Here is a 23,356-nt window from a genome sequence, read left to right on the forward strand (position 1 = left end):
TGGGCACACAATGAATCTGTGACAAGGAAAGCTCCACCCCAAGGTCACCTGGCAGGGAAGAGGCAGCCTCGCACAGCCCCCGTAGAATGTGATACAACATCTCAGAGAAAGTGATTATTTAAATCTGGTTATCATTTTCCTCATATCACACACACACACACACACACACACACACACACACACACACACAAAGTGAATCTATGCAAAATTAAATGGTAATGTTGTTCTGTTTGTGCCAGAAAGATGGATGCATTTTCTACATGACTTCAAATATTTTACTGATTTTACTGAAACATTTGCACAGAGGAGTGTGACTGGGGAGCCAACCAGTTTCCACCATAAAAGTGTTCACGCATTTTTCTCATTTCCTAGTTTGCCATCACATAACAACTTGGAATGTTTACCTGGAAGTGGTAAAAATAGATTTCATTTATTCACTCAAATCCCACACTCATAAAGAAAACAATCTTTCATAATGTAAGACATTATCAGGGGGAGCATAATTCATGGCTAAGGGGTCGCAGCTTTATAATAGATGGGTTTTCAGAAGTGGCTGAGTAAACCTAAGACGAAGGCCGAGCAGTTTGACCCATAAGTTTGAAATACGCAAAAGAGCTCAAGTCAAGCTCCTGATAAATGGCAGTGGGCCCGTCACCACAAGCCCACCCCGACAATTAACAGGCTTGGCTCGGCTGCCAGAAACCAAACTATGATTTATTGTTCTCTTCAAATTAATAAAAGCAATGCCATCCATTGTGGATTCCAGTATTTATCCATATGGGAAAGAGCTGATGTTTCAAAATGGCCATGTGAACAGGTTACACTTCTGAAACCACATTCTCTTTTTTTTTTTTTTTTTTTTTTTGAGACGGAGCCTCACTCTGTCGCCCAGGCTGGGCTGGAGTGCAGCCGCGCGATCTCGGCTCACTGCAAGCTCCGCCTCCCGGGTTCACGCCATTCTCCTTCCTCAGCCTCCCGAGTAGCTGGGACTACAGGCGCCTGCCACGACGCCTGGCTAATTTTTTGTATTTTTAGTAGAGACGGGGTTTCACCGTGCTAGCCAGAATGGTCTCGATCTCCTGACCTCGTGATCCACCCGCCTCGGCCTCCCAAAGTCCTGGGATTACAGGCGTGAGCCACCGCACCCGGCCTGAAACCACATTCTTTTAACCTTAATTCACCACCATGAGAGAAGCCTCTGCTTTCACCCAGGTTATCTAGTGCATAGCCAAAACCTGCACAAGGGATATTACTGTACTTTATTAACTCAAGTCCACTTAAAACTTCTCCAGATAGAGCATCTACAGAAAGACAAACAGGGTCAGGTATTTTCTCATCTGTAAAATGTAAAACTGTAAAACAGTTTCCTCATCTGTAAAATTCTCTCATTTTACAGATGAGGAAACTGAGGCCAGAGGCCAAAGCACCTGGCCAAACTCCCCCTGCAAAGGTCGCAACCCTGCTGGAGAAACACTGAGGTTTCCTAATCACCTGTCACCAATCTGAGATCAGCGGCCATTCTGGCCATAGATGAGTTCAGTTTGTTTGTTTAACCTTTAACTAAAAGCTTAACATTGTAAGGTCTGGCACACCATTCCAGATTCCTGGCTTCTCTAGAAAATCCTGGCTATGTGGCAATTGTGGGTCCAAATTCCTGCCTGGCCTCACTCTGCAGAGCTGGGGAGTAGCCACCCATGGCAAATGGGCATGTGGTGTCGAAGGAGACACAGTCCTACAAAAACCCCCTTTCTTTGTTGCCAGTGGTCCTGGAGACCTTGGAATTTGGTGTCTTTCCTCTGCATCGTACTCAGCTGAGGCTTAAAAATATATGATTGATATATATATATCATATGCATGTAATACATATGATACACACATGTACGTATGTATTGCAGAAAAGTGGCTTTTTAAAATCTGAAGACACATATAGGAATATTTTAATAATGTCTTGATGAGCATAATTTGCCAGCCTTAAGGACAGCAGATGTAAGTCATGGGCACAAGACCCTCTTCAGGCAAAGCGAGCAGAAAGTGAGCACTCAGCAGAGGTGAGCTGGCTAGGAATGGGGCTACTCGTTCTCACTGCCCGAGACAGCAGAGACTCTTGAAGCACGGCAGTTAGAGCCGCCCACTCAGCCCTCAGCGCTGGTCCTGATCTGCACTTCTCATGTACTGTTCTGTGTGTTTTTGCAGCATCCAGAGTGGTTATTTTTAAATGTGAATAAGACCACGCCATTCTCCTGTTTAAAATTCACCTCTGACTCCCTTTCTCTCAGCTCCCTAGATGCCCTTTTCTCCTTGCTCATTTCACACAACTTTCTCCTTCACTCACGAGCTCCAGATACACCCCAGGCTTTCTTCTGAACCTGGAACATCGGGGTGTTCCTACCTTGTAAATCCTTCTGTCCTCCCCCAGATACTTCAGTAACTGGCCCTACTTGTCATTCTCTGGCCACTCCTTCTGCAGTGGTCCTAGTAGCCACTGGCACATCACCCTGAGATATTTTCTTCATTCATCCCTGTTTGAATTCACCTTATTTGTAAACTTGACTACAGAATGCCCCTCAAGCTAGACTATAAGTTCCACGAAAACAGGACCCTTTGCTGTCTTTTTCACTTATTCTCAAGGTCTAGAAAGTGCCCTGCGCACATGTACTGGCTGCAGAATAAACATGTCATGCCCTGTGTTTGAGGGGTATGGCAAATTACTGGAGCCAGAAGAAAAATCTCTCCATTAACAAGATCCTGGCTCCAGATAAGAACAAGGGAGGAGGAAAGGCTATACCTCTCTGGGCTCAGAGTCTTCAAGGGACTTCAGTTGACAGCGCAGGGAGAATTAACTAAATGGTGAAATCTTTATACCGCGCCCACTTACGCTTTAAAATGCTCTGCTGAGTGGTATTGTTGTGATTTCCAAGCGGCTTGCTCAGTTTCTGTTCGATTTCAGAATCAAGGTTGAGGCAACGGATGAGCATTCAAAACGTGCTTCAGTAACTTCAAATGAGGCGTGCATGTGTGTTTGTGTGGTCCTGACTTCATCATTAGTAAATGATTGGTATTAAAGTACCCTAAAACTCATGACCCTAGACACACATGCACATACAGAATTTTCAATTGCATTTGAAATTGTGAAGAGCAATTCTATGGCACTTTGGAATTCCTGAGAGCTACCCAATGTCTCTGTGGACAACAGGGAATGTAGGTCAATTAAGGCTCCTTGAAAACATGGCCCCGTGGCCCTGGAACTCGTATGTAGAAAGGCCCAGCTGCAAGCCCACCGGTCCTTAACTGTCCTCAGACTCTGTGGTCTAAGCATCACAGCAAGTGGCATTTACAGATGAAAGAACAGAAAGAAGCTATAAAATGACATGAGAGCAGGGTAGACGCACACTCTCACGTGCACATGCCACAGACACAGCAGAGAAAAACCCAGCAATAACTGCTGTGCTGTCACCTGCTATAACAAGATTGATCTGTAATGAAATATAAGATAATGCAATCCAGAGGAAATAACTTCTGTTTCCTCTGAGAACATCTGATGTTGTCAACTGCAAGCCTGCTTCCCTCTTCTGCCTGCCACAATGCACACAGCAGCCCAAACAGGCAGGGACTCCACTGGGCAGAGTCCTCCCTCCCTCACTGACAGAAGCACACATTTATCAAGTGGTGTTCCCCCAACTGCCCATGACTTCTTGGCCAAGTCAAAGCAAGCAGGGCCTGGATGCCCATGGCGTGTCCAGGAAGGCAGGGCCACTCAATGTTGCCATTGTGTGCATGGGCCCCAGACAACGCAGTGGCGTCTGTTCACTTGAAGCTAAGTCGTTTTCTGCTTGTTGATTTCTAGCACAATTTATCATCCCCATATTTCAACTAAATGGTACAATTCTGGCCCTGAGTTTTAACCACAGAAGACCTTGTGGAGATCACGGTTTTAGATTCCGTCTGTAAGACACAGAGCTGATGTAACTGTCACCAGTTGAACATTTTACGGAGCAATATTTTCATAAGCAGGATGGCCAGAAACAAAGGTAAGGAGTGGGTACCAGCGGGCGAGTTCTTTGCCATTATTTTAGAGAATGTGTCTCCATACGAAATGGTCCAATATGGCCAGAGCCATGTAAATAATTCACAAAAGCAAGTTCAGTTCCTTCCATTTGAAATCCGAGTAATACCTTATAAGGGAGCGGCCGCCCACTGACACACAGAGCAACGGGTAGCTTGCGGCTTCCATCTCTGGCAGATGTTATTAAGTCTCGATAGCCAGTGATTTGTAGATGATTATAACTTTTGCTCTGCATATCATTGTTACTGACAGGCAAATCCCATCAATCGAATGGCATGACTGATTAAAAAAGAAGGCAAACTTGACAGAGGCAGTCTGGTAAGCCATTTTTTTCTGCCAATTACAACCACCATGAACGCTCACCATTGTGTGTAGAAAAGCCAGATCTGACACCAGCCTCCCCTCTCCCCATTCTCCAGTAACCTCAACACACATGTTCCAGAAAGACTTTCCAAACTCAAATGTTTTGTGTTTCAAGAGGAAAAATGCAATTCAGTGTGGGGTTGCTTACATTCTAGTTCACAGAAAAAAAAATGATCTGCCTAGAGTGCCCCACTGACCCCCCAGTTTGTGAAGGAAGAAAACTCACTGCAGCAACAGGCCCTGACAGCAGCACTTTCATTACACGAACAGTCACGATACCTTTTCAATTTTGCTCATCTCTTAGTCTCTAGCCAAATGGAACTTATTACTTATAGCTTGTTGGGATTTATAAATTATTTATAAAAGTAAGTCTATGACTCCAGACTCTTAAAAGACAATACGACAGTACCCTCATTGTTATCCACAACTGCACTTCTATCAGAGAAGGCAGATATTCTCCATAACACACGCTGCCTGTTTGGGGTGAAATAACAGTTGTGAAAATACCAAGCCTGTAAGATTATTTGGAAGCTATTTATGGAATGCCTGGGTGTATTTTTAAACCAGTCTCTTTTATTGTAAAGCCAGCCTTAGATTCCAGAAAGACACAGCAGATGTGTGCTACCAACATATTTCCCAGCTTGACTACAAACAGTGATGCCCTGCTACTTTTACCCAGTAGTGTCAAGCTGTGATAAAAAGCCAATTCCCCCTTGACGTATATCCAGAAGGTTCGAGGAGGCCATGATCCATGAGTCTCCTGCTGCACCCCAGAGCACAATTGCTCTGCATCCTAAGTGGGGACTAAAACATGGGCCAATGTGGGGTTAGGATTTCACCTCCAGCTCCTCAGAGCACATGACCTTGCCTGGTAAAACAGATGACACTGCACACCCTCACCTGGGTGACACTATCTCAGTCAGACCCAGCTGGCGAGGTTGAAAAGCATGAAGTGACCAGCCAGCCATGGCCTTGCCACACCTCTACAACAGTGGCATGTTTGCTTGGCAAAGGAATCTCCACTGGCACTGGTATAAGGAGCAGCAGCTGAGCCGGATGCAGGAGCCCCAACGGACAGTGGCCTTCCCCCAGACTCCCCTCCAGAGTATCAGTCCTCACCAGGCCCACAGGATCCCTCTCTCCTTCCAGGGCCCAGCCACAGACCCCTCTCCAAGCGTCTCTGCCCAGCTGTCCAGTCTACATCCTACCCCCAAGCATGGTTCAGAGGAAGAAGCAGAGGTTGGACAGCAGAGGCCCAGGGAGGCTGATGGCACTTTAAGCCACTGTCCTCATGGTGTCCCTGAGGGCCTAAATGACATGTCCATAGAGAACGGGAAACCCCATAACCCTCTGTACACAGACCATACCCATGTTCCCCAAAGAGCACAGCCAGTGAAAAAGCAGGCAGGAAACAGTGAACTTACCTTGCTGAAAAACATCTGCCAAGAAAGAAGAAAAGTAGGGGAGGGGAGAGGGGAGAAAGAGAGGAGAAAAAATATTAATAATAATGTTGAAAAGGACAGTATGATGATGACATATGCTGACTTTGCTAAGCACTCTATGCATATTTCCTTTAACTCAGGAGGCAGTGCTTAAGAGCTCAAGCTCTGGAATGAGGCTGCTTGCATTTCAATCCTGGCCTCACACTTACTAACTCTGTGACTTACAGTTCCCTAAACCACAAAATAGATCTAAGTACGGGAAAAATTAAACAAATGATGTCATACATTTTAAGAGCTTAGACCAGTGCCCAGTACATAGTAAACATAGAAAAATCAGCAGCTATTATTTATATTAATACTACTTTCACAACAATCTTATAAAGTAAGTTTTATTATAGTTCTCATTTTATAGATGGGGAAACTGAGGCTCCAGAAAGTTAAATAACTCATTCAAGGCCACAGAGGAACAAGCATGGTCAAAGTGTGTTAGAAAGGTTAAAAAAATGAATGTATTTTTTTCAACAAATATTGAGAAGCTACTAAATACCCTAAATGCCAATTACACTGACACCAGGAAACACACATCTAGGGCCAGGCACGGTGGCTCATGCCTGTAATCCCAGCACTTTGAGAGGCTGAGGCAGGCGGATCACCTGAGGTCAGGAGTTCAAGACCAGCCTGGCTAACATGGTGAAACCCCATCTCTACTAAAAATACAAAAATTAGCCAGACGCAGTGGTGGGTGCCTGTAATCCCATCTACTCGGGAGGCTGAGGCAGGAGAATCACTTGAACCCAGGAGGAGGAGGTTGCAGTAAGCCGAGATCGCTCCATTGCACTCCAGCCTGGGCAACAAGAGCAAAATTCCGTCTCAAAACACACACACACACACACACACACACACACACACACACACACATCTAGTTAAAAAAATAAACAAACAAGCAGTCACTAACTACCACCCCCACCAGAAATTCAATGGCCTGGTTTTGAATTTTATGTAAATGGACTGATACAACATGAATCCTTTTCTTGGCTTCTTTTGGAGTCATCCATACTGTAGCACACGGTAGCTCATTCATTCTCACTGCCATGTAGTATTTCACTGTGGGGTTATACTACAGTTTATTTCTCCACTCGAATGTTGCTGGACATTGGGTTGTTCTCCACGTTTGGCAATTAGGAATTGTGATGAACATTTTCATACATATCTCTTCACAAACTTATGTACAAATGCCAAGTACTTTTTGACATCTCCCACATGGATTCAGGTTCACCCTGCTTATACCGCCTCCCACTCACTCCAAAAGTACGCTCATTTGCTCATGCTTTCTCACTCAGTAACTTAAAGACAAAAGAACACCAGCAGAGATACAGACAGTACCACTCAGATGTGAGCCAGTTTCTGCTCTGATGGTAGGATTGTAAAAAGGAATGAAACTTCTAGAAGATAGTTTGATGGTATATAAAAAAAGATTAAATATGCATTCCTTGGCCCAACAATACCACTTCTAGGACTCTAATCTAATGAAATAATGAAATGTATAAAAGAAATCTACACGAATGTTCATCATAGCATTGTTTATACTGGCAAAACACTGGATGTTGCCTGATTGTTTGGCAATAAGGAATCAAGCCAAATATAATATATCTCACACAGTGGATTATTGTGCAGCTGTTTTAAATGGCTATATAAAGACCTTGATTATTTTGAATGAAAATATCAGATAGCAAAATGGCACATATAATCCTGAGCCCATCTGTGCCCCCTGTATGAAGACAGAACTGTGACAATGGTCACAGAAATATTGCTTATTTTCAGGAGATGGAATTCAGGGTCACCTTTTTACATTTTATGCAAGCATTTCTGTATTAATTTTTAGCAATGAACACGCCTTACATTTACAACCCAAATTTTAAAACTAAAGTTATTTTCATCTTAAAAACTAAGTAGGAACTATATCATCAACATCTAATTTTGTTCTCTGTCATCACCAGAAACATCAGCTCCTACAAAACCACAAAGAACCAAGGGTCCATCAGTGGTGTGGCTGAGACATGCACCTCATAGGTTAACAGACTGCAAGAAGAGAAGATCTATGGTGGCAGTTTTCACTCCACTTGGGCACACATGACCCCACAGGGAGTCGTTCATACTCCCAAGGGCACACTGAGGCCAGTGGTTGTGGTGCAGGTAAAACAGATTGCAGGCTCATAATTCCCAGGGAATTGGCAAAAACATCACCATTTCTTTTACACTCAGCAAAGCCAACTGGGATGTAAATGGGTCCTATCAGTCCCACTACAGGAAACCTTGACTCTGCTCTAATTGATACACACTATACAGTAGTCTCTAACCTCAGTAATTCATCATTAGTACAAATTCTGATCCAGTAGTGTATGGGATGCCACTGCCCAGAGACTGTGAGAACCGTGTACAGCTCCCTAAATATACCACTTTCACCTGCGCTTGCTTCTGGAACCCATAGTCTGCACCAACCACCCTCTGACCAGCCGGCACACCTGGAGGAGCCCTCCTACTCAGCCTTCAAATGTCACAGCCACTGTGAAGTTTATTCCCACAGAGAGGGAATTCACTGTTTCCACTTCTGTGCTCCTGGAGTAATTTGTGCGTGTTGCAATTATAGCTCATATTATAATGAGTTATTTATATAGACCATGAGCTCCTGAGGACAAGAGCAGTGTCTCTTAATCACCTTTGTGGGTCCTACCTGCCTGGCCATGGCAAGCTCCTACCTACGAGGGAGGGAAAGAGGGCTGGTCTGTCCTAGCACTCATCTGATCCAACCCCCTCATTTTACAGGTGAGGAAACTGAGTCCCAGACAGTTCAGAGATTTTTCTCAAGATCACACATGGAGTTAAAGGCTGAGCCAGGACCACATGAGATTCATTTAACCTTAATGAAGCACAAAAGCTCATCACTATTATTAGCAAAGTACAAATTAGAGATTTATCATTCCCCTCTAATGAATACAGACAAAAATTTCCAACCCTGAAAACATTAGTGAAATAAGATTAGTCTTTGAAATACGGATTCAGTCTCGACATCCGTCCAGAATCCTCAACCTCCTCTGCGTGGTTTTGACAAGGAGCACTTCCTTCAAAATTCAGTACTGATTTGAATCACTCAAAAGTATCAGTGGACAGGGAGGATGGAAATTCGGGCAGGGATTTAGTGACTTTATTCTGTCCACTTCCATTGTATATTTCATGCTTTAGCAGACAAATATACATGGAGTAACTATTTGTATCTTCGATTCCAAAAACTCACAGTAGCTATTTTAGATTTTTCCAAAAACTCTTTTTCAGCTTTGTTTACATTTTGCACCGTTTTATTCAAATGTAAATTTTAATAAATACTAGTACAAATATTGCAACAATTTTGCACGTGAATTATCTTGGAATACTCAAAGTTTATGTCTTTTGTGGTCTGAGGTATATAAATCATTCCATTCTTACTATTATTTATCTTTTTGGTGTAATAATGGTTTGGGTACCTTCTTTAAAATTTCACTTTTCCAGAATGAAACAGCGATCATAGCTCAGGCACAAATGATTCATGGACAGACAAACGGGAAATAAAGGAGAAGAAGGCGGTTTCTGTTCTGTTGGCTACATTTTAACTTCCTCTCCCAAACTGTGGATGTCAAAGGATATTAGCCATTGAAATATTCCTACCATTCGCTACCCTGGTGTTCCTGTCCGCCACCTCCATCTCCTAAACTATAGGGAGTAGTCATTTACACAAATCAAAAGGCCTCGAATTTGAGTGTAATATTCTCCTTTCAATCTAACCAACCACAAAGTCAGGAGTCAATCTATTAGACCTGCTGAGCTTGAATTTCCTTGTTGAAAACCCAGGCATATTCTAATACCCCTGTCACGGGGCTGAGAAGGTAAAGTTAGATGATTTATACAAATGTTTTCCCATTCCATCGGTTGCTGTGGGGAATTACTCTGAGAATAAGACTCGGGGCCATCTTTTCTGCTCTTGCAGGAATTGGAAATCATGCCAGTATGGAGTGGGGAATTGCCAGTGGCCGCTCTAGCCACAATCAGGTTGAGCCCAAAGGGCACCAGAGACACTTGTAAAGAGGAAATGAACTCCTTCAGACAACGCTCTGCTCATACTCACTTCCCAAGGGAGAAAACCCCAACCCCAATCATTCACATGGACAAAGGAAAGCCTGTTCTCCTGCCCACCCCCGGCTCCCTCTCCCCACCAGCCCCTGGAGCCATTCTGGTCCTATAGATAGATGAAAGGGCGTGTATAAGTTGGTGATTCAGATGTGGGAGGAAGAAAATAAGAAAGAAGGAACTCAGATTGCCTTTCTTAGCCCTGCTGTCCAATTTCTTCAGTTAGGAATGAGCATCGAGGATATTTGCCCCTTCCCCCACAGCTACTAAGAGATTCACACCCTAGAGATCTTTAATGCACTGAGTCCTCCAGAGACAGGGGCCATAAAAAGACTCGATTATTTATTATTATTAATAAGTTATGGCAATTAGGCTGGGTGATTCCTAAATGTTGCTGATTAAACTTTCTTGAGTGCTACTCATCCACATGACTAGTGTTTACCTCGATTAAAAATGACTTAACTACACTCTGGGTGAACCCCTCTCTTGCGCCTGGGTTAGTAATTAGCAGTGCACAGAGCCACGCAGGTTAAGTGAGTTGGCTCTGCTTTATTTATCTATTGCTTTGTTTTATGAGGAGAACTGGATGGCAGTCTTATTGCCCATTCAGTCTGCTAGGAATAATTTACTATTTCAATCCATAGTCCATAACTATGGTTAGAGAAACCCTCACTATTATTACAATATCACACTTAGCCCACACCCCACAGTATTAAAGGTATGGCAAACAGTGAAACTGTGCGTGACTTCCATAAAACTGGGGGTGGTAAAGTTATTAGTTCTCAAACAATGTAATCATACTACTCTCTCAATTTTGCTTTCTTTTCTAGGTTAAATTATATATGAGGGGAGTTTAGTTTCTTGAAATGCATGCACTTAACTCCCATTTAAGAAGTCTCACCTGGGGAGACAGCTGTCTTGCGAGTCCTCCTGTGGTTTGAGCTACAGAAAGAAAATTCTCTTTCAAGTACAAGTGCTTTTACAGTAAAGCACTGCGAATTTTACTGGGACCTAACTAACCAGGGACAAGGAAGGGAACAGCTGGAATGAATGTGGTTTTCTTGAATGGAGTCAGTTCACCATTAACCAAAGTCAATTTCACAATCAGCTGAGCTGCCCCCTCACCAAGGTTAAAAAACCAGCAAGCTCTGTACATAGACATGAAGAGTAACAAGAATTCAGTCGGTACATTTCTTCTGCAAATCTCTGTGAATGCAGTGAATTTTTTCTTTTTATGTTGAAAAGTGGGGCCCATCAATGCCTCCCTACTTGTTGAGTACCCACGGCACTCCAGGGCAGTTCTGTTTTCAGTTGACAAAGCCCAGGTCCAGACCTGCAGGTGGGCTCTCCAAAGGTGACAGGATGCGTCCTTATATGATCCAGTGCTGTGGCACCAAAGGATTATGGCCACCGGATCTCAATGACCTGGGATCAAGTCCCAACCCCTTACCAAGTGGACACCCGGAGTAATCACTCAACATATTGTAGCTTACATTCCTATCTATAAAATGGCAACAGTAGGGATAAGCTTTTTCCCTACCATAGGAATATCATGAGGATCAAGTGGGATAATTTAATCGGCACAGGCCACAAGTACTTTGTAGTCAAATAATATTTGTTCAATCCTGGCAAAGGCCAGCATCCTAGCCATACTGGACTAGCTATTTAAACTCTATGAGTCTTCATTTCCTCACTTGTAAAATGAGGATAATAAAATTTATCTTGCAGAATGCCTAGGAGGACAGTCAAAAGCATATATGTAAAGCACTTAGCACATGGTGGCTGGTTTATGCTGCATGTTCAATAGGTGAAAGTCAATGGTATAATAATAAGCAATAGAAACAGGGTCATAAAAACTCAGGTTCTGAAGTCAGAGCTGGTCCTATGTCTGCCTGTGTGATCTTGGGCAAGTTATTTTATCTCCCCAAGCCTTGATTTTCTCATCAGCAACATGCCAGTAACAATAGGTAATTTTTGCGGAGACAAAATTTGCTATGAAGACTGAATGAGAGATTGCCTATAAGAGAACACGATAACTGGTACCCAGAAAGTCTTCTATAAATTATAGTATTATTATTCAAAAAACATTTATTGATTGTCTACTATTTGAAAAACCTCTGCGACTTGCATAGGACTGTAAAGGAATCATGAGAGGAAAATTCATGAAAATAAAATGATCCTTCTAATTCCTTCTTGTCATCCTGTAGCTATATGCCATTCAGAAGCCCCAAATCAATTTTCAGATATTACCTATGAATGGATTATTTTTAAGCCTTGACATCAGTGATCCAATGATATCCTACCTTCAAACACCAGCGATCTAAGAGGTTGCGGTTAGAACCCATAGGTGCCAGAAACCCAAGGCCTGACCTTTGTTTCGGGTACCACTCATTCCTTTAACACTGCCCGTCTCCTCTGGACCTGCCTTCGTTTCTCAAGACCACCATTTAGGGGGCTCAGCTAGCCCTTTCCTGGGCTTTGATCAGCATCTCAAGCCACACTCCCTGGTAGGTAAGGGTCAAAAGAGGTAGGAACTGTATGGGGACAGCTGAATTGGCAGCACTGCAAAGAGAGCTGTTCTGTTCTCTATAGCGGGGTTCTATGGAGAATCTGCCTGAGAAAAGAGTTCCATTGCTTTATTAAATAAAGTTTGAGCACAACAAACCACTGAAGCAGAGCCCCTTCCTGCCCAGGTGCAGGTCTGTATCTCCCGGAGCATGGCCAGAGTCCAGAGCTCCTCCAGAGTCCCCGCTCAGCCTCAGTGGCACCACATAGGGACTGTGATTAGTTTTCTGTGTCTCCAAAGCCAGACAGCTCAGGCAACCGTGTAGCCACACGGCCAATATTCATGACCCTCCTGCTTCCTCCAGGCACAATAAGGTTGCTCAAACTGAACAGAGCCCCGGTGAGCCTTGGTAATAGCTTTAAGGACTAACCGGAAGGCCTCACTCCGCATCTCCAGCCTTCTAAGCCAAAAATGACAACCGCTCTTTAATGCTGCAAGATCTTTTATCTCACTCTGCCTTTTCTTCTCTACCTGGGTTTGGATGTAGGCCGGAGAAAGTTCTCTCGTTTTCATTGCTGCTGGCCTCCCTTCACCTTTTATCATATTAGAAATGAAGACCAATACTTTGCCTGTCACTGTTGTACCTCTGAAGGCACACAGTGCTCACTAAATGTCTTTTATTTGTGGATAAGAAAAAAATAAAAAAAAAAGCCTCAAAGAATCTTCCTGCTACATTTACTAGGGAATGTGCTACCAACATCAATCTTGGGCTGTGTGCTTATAACCCATCGGCCTGCGCTGACTTGGAAAAGCAATGCAAGAGACATGAGCTGGTGAGCCCCTATCATTTTTATGACATCCTATCCCTAGTATATCTCATTCCTAGCACAGAGGGATAAAGCTCTTAACTACTGAAAGAACATAAAAAAATAGATTTAGGAATAATACTTTTTATGATTGCATTCTGTATACTATGAAAGTTATGTCCGAGTCTGCTAGTACTTTATAGAGCTGATAAAGTAGAACAGTATGGCTTCCCAGCTCACAGTGTATTTTATATCCATTTAAAATGTTTTCTCTTAAATTGAATTACTTTTTGAGTAATTATAATAAGACTAATCTGGGCTTAATGAATTCATGTACAAATATTTTAGATTGCATTATTAAAATCTCTATGATATGAAACTATATTAAAATCGATCCCTCTAGCAACCAGTGTTTTCCTTTGAAAAGAGCCGCATACATGACCTTCTCGGAATTCTTTTGAATCAGCTGAGAAATCAGAAGAAGCCACATTAAGAGCCTAAACAAAAGAAGCTGACAAGTAACATTGCTTTAATTTTCCTAAACTTCTATCATTGGATATTAATTGGAGTATTAATTAGGAGTCACAAAAAGTATTTGTATTAAGCATCCATATATGCAAAGGGCTGAAGAGATGGTCCATCTTCCAGAAGAAATTACGTTATAGCTGTGATTAGCAATGACGTAACACTACTACTGGTAAAATACTAAAAGTGAGCCCCTGGATATCAAGCTTTACATTTTAAAAAGTCTCCAAACACAGTTGTCTAAACATCTGGATTCTAGTTTGCAGTGCAGGCAAAGCCATTCACCTTCCCTGGGATTCCGTTCTTCCATTTGCAAAATGATTTCTACTAGATGATCTCTAAGGTCCCTTCCAGTTCTAAAGCACGATGTTTTTAAGTTTAAAATTACACACATTGTATCAAATGGACTCTTACTGCACATAGCTTATTTGTAATCTTATGCATGCTAAATTACATTCACAAAAAAATTTCATTCTTTGCAATTCACATACATCCACAAACACATCCATAATACAGCCTGTGATTTCAAATTTATTCCAAGATATTATCTCAGTTTTAAAGTATTTTTCCCATTACAGATAAATTATAAGCCATCTGAAATCTTTAAGTTTCTATTACCTTTTTGAATCAAGTTTTAATCCCCCAACGCACCCACCCAACATACACTTCCTGAAAGATGCTTTTTCATCTCCATTTCCAAGTCAAATGATACATTTTATCACACATGTATTCCTCAGCCAGCTCTGTGTGATCCAGGTTTTAATCAGGTTGGTTACCCAGTTTCCAAAATTCAAACTGGATGTTTACAAATGTCCAGCAGAATAAATCTCTCTCTTTACCAGGTGATCATTATCAGGATGGACAACTTCAAAGTAAACAGAAGACAATGATAATGATCATTACTTGATGCTTGCCACAAATAACCATCAGGACAGCTCCCAGGAGTCAGAGACAATTCAAGCTTGAATTCTAAGAAGCTGTTCTAAAATCAAGCATTGTTGATCATCATGAAATGGGCCCAAGGCTTCTAGGAGGAGCTTTGATGATGTAATACACTCTAGCTTGACCTCAGTTTTAGGAGGTACAGGTTCTGGCCTGGCTCTGCTATAAATCACCTGAAGGAACTTAAACAAATCATTTAAGCACTTTGGGTTTCAAAGGAGCGATTGACAAGAAAATAGCTGCAATCTTTTCCAGTTCTAAAACTATAATGAACACTACCAGGACCTTTCATTAGAACTCCCTGCTATATGCTCCCAAATCAACTGTACATCTCCTTGGTGCCCTAACATACACCTGTTATTTTCTTTCTCTCTCTTTCTCTCTAACTAAGCTGAAAGGACCATGATGTCAGGGACATTCTGTCCACTGTAGTCCCAAAGCCCAGGGCAGAATATTAGAGCATAAAAGATACTTATTAATATTAATAATAACTAATATGCTTTCAGAGTTTTCTGTACATCAGGCACTATTTTAAATACTTTACATAGACTGCCTGAATCCTCTCAGTCACCCTAAAAGGTAGCTATTCTCATTATCTTCATTTTACAGATAAAGAAACACAGGCCCACAAAGGTTAACTAAAGCTGCCAAAGGTCAAAGGGAAGCAAGTGAGCTGGAATTCAACCCAAGCAGTCTGGCTTCAGAATCCAAACTCTTAACCACTTTGCTACACTGTCTCTCAATGAATACACCATTGATAGACGTGTGGAAGGAAGAAGGAACAAATAAATATGCCTCGTCCCTTCTAAGACACCCCAGAGAGAGAAGAGAATTCACGTTCATACTACCTTTTTTTAAAGACAGAGTCTCACTCTGTTGCCTAGGCTGGAGTGCAGGGGTGCGATCTCGGCTCACTGCAACCTCTCTCTCCCAGGTTCAAGCAATTCTCATGTCTCAGCCTCCCAAGTAGCTGGCATTACAGGCAGGTGCCACCACGGCCAGCTAATTTTTGTGATTTTAGCAGAGATGTGGTTTCACTGTGTTGGCCAGGCTGGTCTCAAACTCCTGACCTCAGGTGATCTGCCCACCCTGGCCTCTCAAAGTGCTGGGATTACAGGCGTGAATCACCGCACCTGGTCTGTGTTCATAATACTTTTAATATAATAATCCCCATGTTTCTAGATCCCCAGCCACATTTTTTTCTGTAACTTTTCTATCTGTGGATTTTGGGTCCAATTGCAGAGACTGCCTAGATACACATTAACTTTTTTAAAACTTTACAAATTCTCTTTCTAAAATATTGCAACTGTTTCAATAGGTTTATGGCAATTGTTAAGGTAAGGTAAGGACATGGGGAAAGGACGTCCTGCTGGATTAAAAAATGAGAATTCCAAGAAGAGAGTAAGGAAGGGGAGAACAATACAATACAAGGAAATATGACTGAGCTGCAAAGATCTATGCAGCTGCCCTGATCCAGGGCCATCCTACTTGGGTTTATGAAAAGGATGGTATGAGAGGCGGTAGAAGGGGAAAGAGCCAGGTGGGAGGTAATGCAGTGCAGGCAATGCACATATGGGTGCAGCAGCCAGAGGGCTTTCTTTTCTTCTTTATTTATTTATTTATTTATTTTGGAGATAAAGTCTTGCCCTGTCGCCCAGGCTGGAGTGCAGCAGCGTGATCTCGGCTCACTGCAACCTCCGTCTTCTAGGTTCAAGCTATTCTCCTGCCTCAGCCTCCAAAGTAGCTGAGATTACAGGTGCCCGCCACCACACCTGGCTAATTTTTGTATTTTTAGTAGAGAGGGGATTTTGCCATGCTGGCCAGGCTGGTCAGGAACTCCTGACCTCAGGTGATCCGCCCCCTTCAGGCTCCCAAAGTGCTGGGATTACAGGCGTGAACCACCGTTCCCAGTCATGGATTGCATTTTGATCCTGGCTCTGCCACTGGGAAAGCAATCTTTCTGCTCTAAGCCTCAACATCTCCGTTTGATTGAGTGGGGCAACAGTGATATGGGGCTGTTGTGAAGATTACAGGAAATCAAGCTAATAAAGACTTCACACAGCGCCTGACACATAGAAGGCACTTCACAGAAGCAGGCAATTAGACAGAGATTTATAAGAAATCAAGTTGCAGGATATCATCAAGATCAACCAAATTCTTTGGCATGCTGGCAACTGTGCTTGTCCTGATGAATAAAATATACAGTCAGACCTCCATATCCACAAGTTTTGCATCCACAGATTCAACCAACCACGGATTGAAAATATTTGAAAAAATAAAAAGTAAAATTAATAATACTGTAATAAAAATAATACAAACTAAAAACAATAAAGTATAACAACATTTACATAGTATTTACACTGTATCATGTATTATAGGTAACCTATAGATTATTTAAATTAACTCTATACAGAAGGATGTGCATAAGCAAGTAATTAAATGCAAATCCCACACCATTTTATATAAGGGGTCCTGGAATCAATAGCCCGTGGATACTGAGGAATGACTATACTTGCCTGGATTCTAAAACTCAAAAATAAAAAATCAGAGGGTGCAGCAAAATATCACAGCCCACTCCCTCTACCCACTAGCCCCCCAGCACGGAATGACATCATCCAGGAAAAAAATGTGAGAGAACATCTCTAGCAATAGAACATTCATATTCTCCTAGTCATATTTGTTTCTCTGGAAGCAGGATCAATGTTTACCATGTGAACAAATACTAAAACCAGACATATTATCCTACACTCTATATCACATAAATGCTAGTATTTTCAGAGGTAATTGGAAGCAAGTAATTAAATGTGAACTACAGGTATTTCATCAGTCTTTCAGAGCACAGGCCTTTCTGCCAGAAGGTAGTACATTTTCTAGAGTCACCCACTTACAGGCTTAGATAGCCTATGTGGCTCCTCTCTCTCCATCGTCCCATGTCATGGCTGTGCATGGCAGGACCGCACACTGGGCTGGGCTCCTCTACATTGAAGCCAAGCATTTCAGAAATGGAGAGTAACCAGAGAGCTGAGAACACCTTGCAAAAACCTTGGCGGCTGTACACAGGGAGGACCACCAGCAAAAATGTTTCCCTCCTTGTGAAGAACAGTCAGCAAGCAGTAAATGTGATTACCACAGTTCATACCCCACTGAGTGCCTTTGCAAAATAGAAGGGAAAGTTCATCTGGCAGTTTAAGATTCTTTTAAATCTGTATGATATCATTCACTGACTCAACACAATCATGAAATATAAATGTCATTTTCATGAAGAATTTAGGTGGCAGGCTTGCCAGGAGTTCCCTGAAAAAAAGGGATTCCAGCATCTTACAGAGCTTAAAAAATGTTAATTGTCCTTTATATATATATATTTCTTCAAGCATCACAGTTGACACAGCATTCCTTCCCTCAGGAGAATATGGCAATAAAGGGTGCCATCTTGGAAACAGAGCATCGCTCACTAGGCAATCGAACCTGCTGGCTCCTCAATCTTGAACCTCTCAGCCTCCAGAACTGTGAGAAAATAAGTCTCTGTTCTTTGTAAATTACCCAGCCTTGGGTATTTTGTTATAGCCGCACAAACAAAGAGAGATGGCTATACTCAAAAAGATAATGACAAGTGCTGGTGATTATGTAGAGAAACTGGAAGCACATACACTGCTGATGGGACTGTCAAATGGTATAGCCACTTTGGAAAACAGTCTGGCAGGTCCTCAAATAGTTACGTATAGAGTTTATCATATGATCCAGCAATTCCACTCCTGGGTATATACCCGAGAGAAATGAAAACATGTCCATGCAAAAATCTGTACACAAGAGTTCATAGAAGCATTAGTCATAATAACCAAAAAGTGGAAATAATACGAATGTCCATCAACTGACGAATGGATAAATAAAATGTAGCACATCCACACAATGAAATAATATTTGGCAATAGGAAGACATGAAGTATTGATACATGCTACAACATGGATGAACCTTGAAAGCATGATCCTAAGTGAAAGAAGCCAGACACAAAGACCACGTATTGTGTGGTTCTATTTATATGAAATATCCAGAATTGGTAAATCAAGAGACAGAAAATAGAGTAATGGTTGCCTAGAGGTGAAGGGGATGAGGGGGTGACAGCTAAGGATGTACCAGATTTTTAAGGAGGTAATGAAAACACTCCAAAATTGACTGTATGATGAATAGAAAACTCTGAATATACTAAAATCCATTTAACTGTACACTTTAAATGGGTGAATTGTACAGTGTGTGAAGTCCTGGGTTGTGAATACATTTCAAATGACTAGGAATGACAACCCCTGCCTCTCTGAGCCACAGCTAGGCAAGTCAATCTCACAAATGCACCCAGCTGTTTATCCTATGAACACATCTGAAGAACACACTCAAATGCTAGACACTATAGCTAGAGAAAACTATGCTCAGATGAAAGACAGCATCTCCTCTCCTCAGGGGGTCACAGCCTGGTGCCTCTATGGACATCTGTGCTGTTCAATACAGTAGCCCCCAGCCACATGTACCCACTCAGCCCTTGAAAAGTGGTGAGTGGGAATTGTAATATGATCTAAGTAAAACTCAGACACCAGATTACAAAAACTTAGGTCACCAAAAAAGGTAAAATTGCTTGTTCATAATTTTTTATATTAAATTACATGCTAAAATGATATTTTGGGGCCAGGCGTGGTGGCTCACACCTGTAATCCCAGCACTTTGGGAGGCCAAGGCAGGCGGATCACGAGGTCATCAGATCGAGACCATCCTGGCCAACAAGGTGAAACACTGTCTCTACTAAAAACACAAAAATTAGCTGGGTGTGGTGGCACGCACTTATAGTCCCTGCTACTCGGGAGGCTGAGGCAGGAGAACTGCTTGAACCTGGGAGGGTGAGGTTGCAGAGAGCCAAGGTCATGCCACTGCACTCCAGCCTGGCGACAGAGCAAGAGTCTGTCTCCAAAAAAAAAAAAAAAAAAAAAAAAAACTAAAATGATATTTTGAATGAGCTGTGTGAAACTAATTTTTTTTTTTGAGACGGAGTCTTGCTCTATTGTCCAGGCTGGAATGCAGTGGTGTGATCTCGGCTCATAGCAGCCTCTGCCTCCCAAGTTCAAGCAATTCTCCTGCCTCAGCTCCCCAAGGAGCTGGGATTACAGGCGCCCACCACCACACCCAGCTAATTTTATATTTTTAGTAGATATGGGGTTTCACCATGTTGGCCAGCCTGGTCTCAAACTCCTGGCTTCAAGTGATCCACCTGCCTCAGCCTCCCAAAGTGCTGGGATTACAGGCGTGAGTCACTGTACCCGACTGAAATTAAATATTATCATTAAAATTAATTTCACCTGTGCTGTTGCTATATTTTGAACGTGGTACTGGAAAATGTCCAATTACAGATGTGGCTCATATTATGTTTCTATTGGACAGTGCTGGTCTAGTACTGATCTTTAAAGTACTTTCAGATCTAGTACTGATCTTTAAAAATAAATAAATGAAATGTTCTTGATCCCCAAGGTTTTGGAGGGGTACTTTATTCAGACTTCTCAATGGTAATTAACTTTGAAGTCCACTCAGCAGTTATAAAATGCCCTCTGCTCTGTGATTACGGAGGCACAAACAGTCCCTTGTTTGCTGCCCTCTGCCAACTGGATCCTTGAACTAGGGTAGAAGATGGTCGGCATGGCCTTTTAAATACTGGCATGTCCCAAGTCCTTACAAAGCACAAATGTTTCCCAAATAAGCCAGGCTCAGAAAACGATGACTGCACCCTCGAAGAGTCACGATCAAAGGGCTGCCTTTTGAAAATGATGAAAGATGAGGCTGAGATGATAGACCACTATTCACAGAAAGGGAAGTTCTGCTAAAAGGGATTTCATCGACAAGCGGCTTTGCATGTCATCCGTGAGGGCATCCCCCTTTAGCTCCGCATTTGTGAGCTCTGTATGGTTCAGAGGGGCTTTTGCTTCTGCTTCTCTAGATCAGCAGTCCCCAACCTTTTTGGCACCAGGGACTGGTTTCATGGAAGACAATTTTTCCACAGGCAGGGGGTGTATGTGAGTGGGGGGATGGTTCTGGGTGATAAAGTGCATTACATTTATTGTGCACTTTATTTCTATTAGTACTACATTGTAATATATAATGAAATAATTATACAACTCACCATAATGTATTATAGAACCAGTGGCAGCCCTGACCTTGTTTTCCTGCAACTAGAGGGTCCTACCTGGGAGGGATGGGAGACAGTGACAGATCATCAGGTATTAGATTCTCATAAGGAGCACGCAACATAGATCCCTCTCATGTGCAGTTCACAAAAGGGTTCGCGCTCCTATGAGAATCTAATGCTGCCTCTAATCTGACAGGTGGCGCAGGTCAGGCGGTAATGTGGGCAATGGGGAGCGGCTGTAAATACAGATGAAGCTTCACTCACTTGCCTGCTACTCACCTCCTGCTCTGCAGCCCAGTTCCTACTGTCCAGGGTTGGGAACTCCTGCTCTAAATTACTCTTTGAGCCACATGTCCAGGGCAAGGCAAACAGGGCCTATAGGACAGCAGCAAGCTCTAAACCTCTGGCCCAGCTGGAACTTTATAAAGAATCCACAGGTATGTCTGTACCCAAAGAGAGGAAACAGAAATGGACCTTAGATGTGGCAGGCTCTAGGGATCAAACTGTTATCATTAAGTAGCTGGGCCAAGAACCCCTACCAAACTGTCAGGTTGCTTCTGTAGCCAGCCAATGCGCAGGGAACTATGTTTACTGCCTTTTTCAAACTTATTCTTTGGAGCTAAGAAAGAAGTGGAGATGAAGTAATGTGGCCAGCGTCATGGTGCTGGCAAGTGGCACAGCCATGATTCAAACTTGGATTTGCCTGATCCCAAAGCTAATGCCTTTAATAAGCACAGAGCTATATTGTCATTATTTCCTTCTACAAACATTATTCCCTGCTGGGTGCTGTGGGAATAGAAGATTAGAGTGATTTATATCAACTAGCATCCTGCCTTCTCAAATGAGACACTCTTAAATTCCTGTATCTACTTTTGTTCAGCATCTCCAGTAAACTGAAGTAGAAGGCAGTGTCATTGGCTCATCTCTGTTCTGTGTATTATGGAAACACAGACAAGATATCTAAGAGTTCTTAATCTCTTCTGGACACACAGTGGGTGCAGGTGGGAAACAGAGCTTAATTCCATCTCCTGTCATGTCAGATCCATTTTCTCCACATGCTCATAAATGAGAGTGTACCAAGTATCATGCTTGTTGTGGCACTTAGAATGGGCCATGCAACCTGCTCAGTACTGGGCATATCCAAAGATGATATACCACAATCTCTGCCCTCTGGAATGTTCCTCAGTTAGAGGCTATCAAGTTATTTTAAAGTGCCTATGTTTTGGACAAAGTGTGCTGTAAAGAACAAAGCTCATTTCTGGAGCCAGTTTGTGGCTTGAGGCATCTTCAACTTATAGCAGTTGTTACAAAATGTACCTGACTTCGCGTTTCAAAAGAACTGGCTGGAACATGGCTATTTCTAGATGGACTTGTTCAGGGCTTGGGTAATCAAAGCCCTCATTTTCCACTCTCCTCCCACCACCCCATTATCTCCCGGGCCTGGTAGTCAGTAAGCAATTGGCTGGCTTTGCATGCCAGCATGGTGTGATTTGGAAAGTTAAGGGAATTATGATGAAAATGTCACTGCAAACCAAAAGTCTGGAGGCTTCTGATAAGGAAGTTTAAAGGTGTCTTCATCATCTTCCAGCTGGAGATGCCTAAGAAGACAGCCAGGATTGCTCCAAAAGATGGCCAGGAAGTCTAACCCACTCTCTATTTCTGGCTATGGTGGGCAGACCAATGCCCCCTGCCCAAGATGCCCATGTTCTAATCCCTGGAATCTGTGAAGAGGTTACTTTACATGGCAAATGAGACTTTGCAGATACGATTAAATTAAGGATCTGGAGATGAGGATGTTTTCCTGTATTACTTAGGTGGGCCCAGCCTAATCAAATGAATCCCTAAAGTTGGATAATCTTCCCCCAGAGAGTTACAATGGTGAAAAAAGGGTCAGAGAGATGCTGTGTTGCTGACTTTGAAGATGGGGAGGGAAGCCACAAGTCAAGAAAGGCAGGTGGGGCCGGGCACGGTGGCTCACGCCTGTAATCCTAGCACTTTGGGAGGCCAAGGCGGGCAGATCACGAGGTCAGGAGTTCAAGACCAGCCTGGCCAAGATGGTGAAACCCCATCTCTACTAAAAATACAAAAAATTAGCCAGGAGTGGTGGTGGGCATCTGTAATCCCAGCTACTCAAGAGGCTGAGGCAGAGAATTGCTTGAACCCGGGAGATGCAGGTTGCAGTGAGCCAAGATCGCGCCACTGCACTCCAGACTTGATGACAGACCAATACTCCATCTCAAAAAAAAAAAAAAAAAAAAAAAAAAAGAAAGGCAGGTGGCCTCTAGAAAACGGAAAAGGCAAGGAGACAGATTCTCCACCAGGGCCTCCAGAAGGAACACAGTCCTGCCGACTCCTCGAGTTTAGTCTAGTGAGACCCATGTTGGACCTCTGGCC

General features: G+C 42.8%; 1 protein-coding gene across 12 annotated transcripts in view; it reads right to left on the reverse strand.

The window, feature by feature from the left end:
• GFRA1 (GDNF family receptor alpha 1) overlaps window positions 1-23,356 on the reverse strand; it is a 217,781-nt gene that overhangs the window by 148,856 nt on the left and 45,569 nt on the right. For 2 of the 12 annotated variants that reach the window (NM_005264.8, NM_001348098.4), the window contains exon 5: window positions 5,851-5,865. The exons of the other annotated variants lie outside the window; for them this stretch is intronic. In NM_005264.8, coding sequence (NP_005255.1) covers window positions 5,851-5,865 — 15 coding nt within the window. The remainder of the gene's footprint in view (window positions 1-5,850; window positions 5,866-23,356) is intronic. 12 annotated transcript variants of the gene reach the window in all.

Source organism: Homo sapiens, chromosome 10 (genome assembly GCF_000001405.40).
Source record: "Homo sapiens chromosome 10, GRCh38.p14 Primary Assembly".
In the NCBI taxonomy this organism is placed as follows: Eukaryota; Metazoa; Chordata; class Mammalia; order Primates; family Hominidae; genus Homo; species Homo sapiens.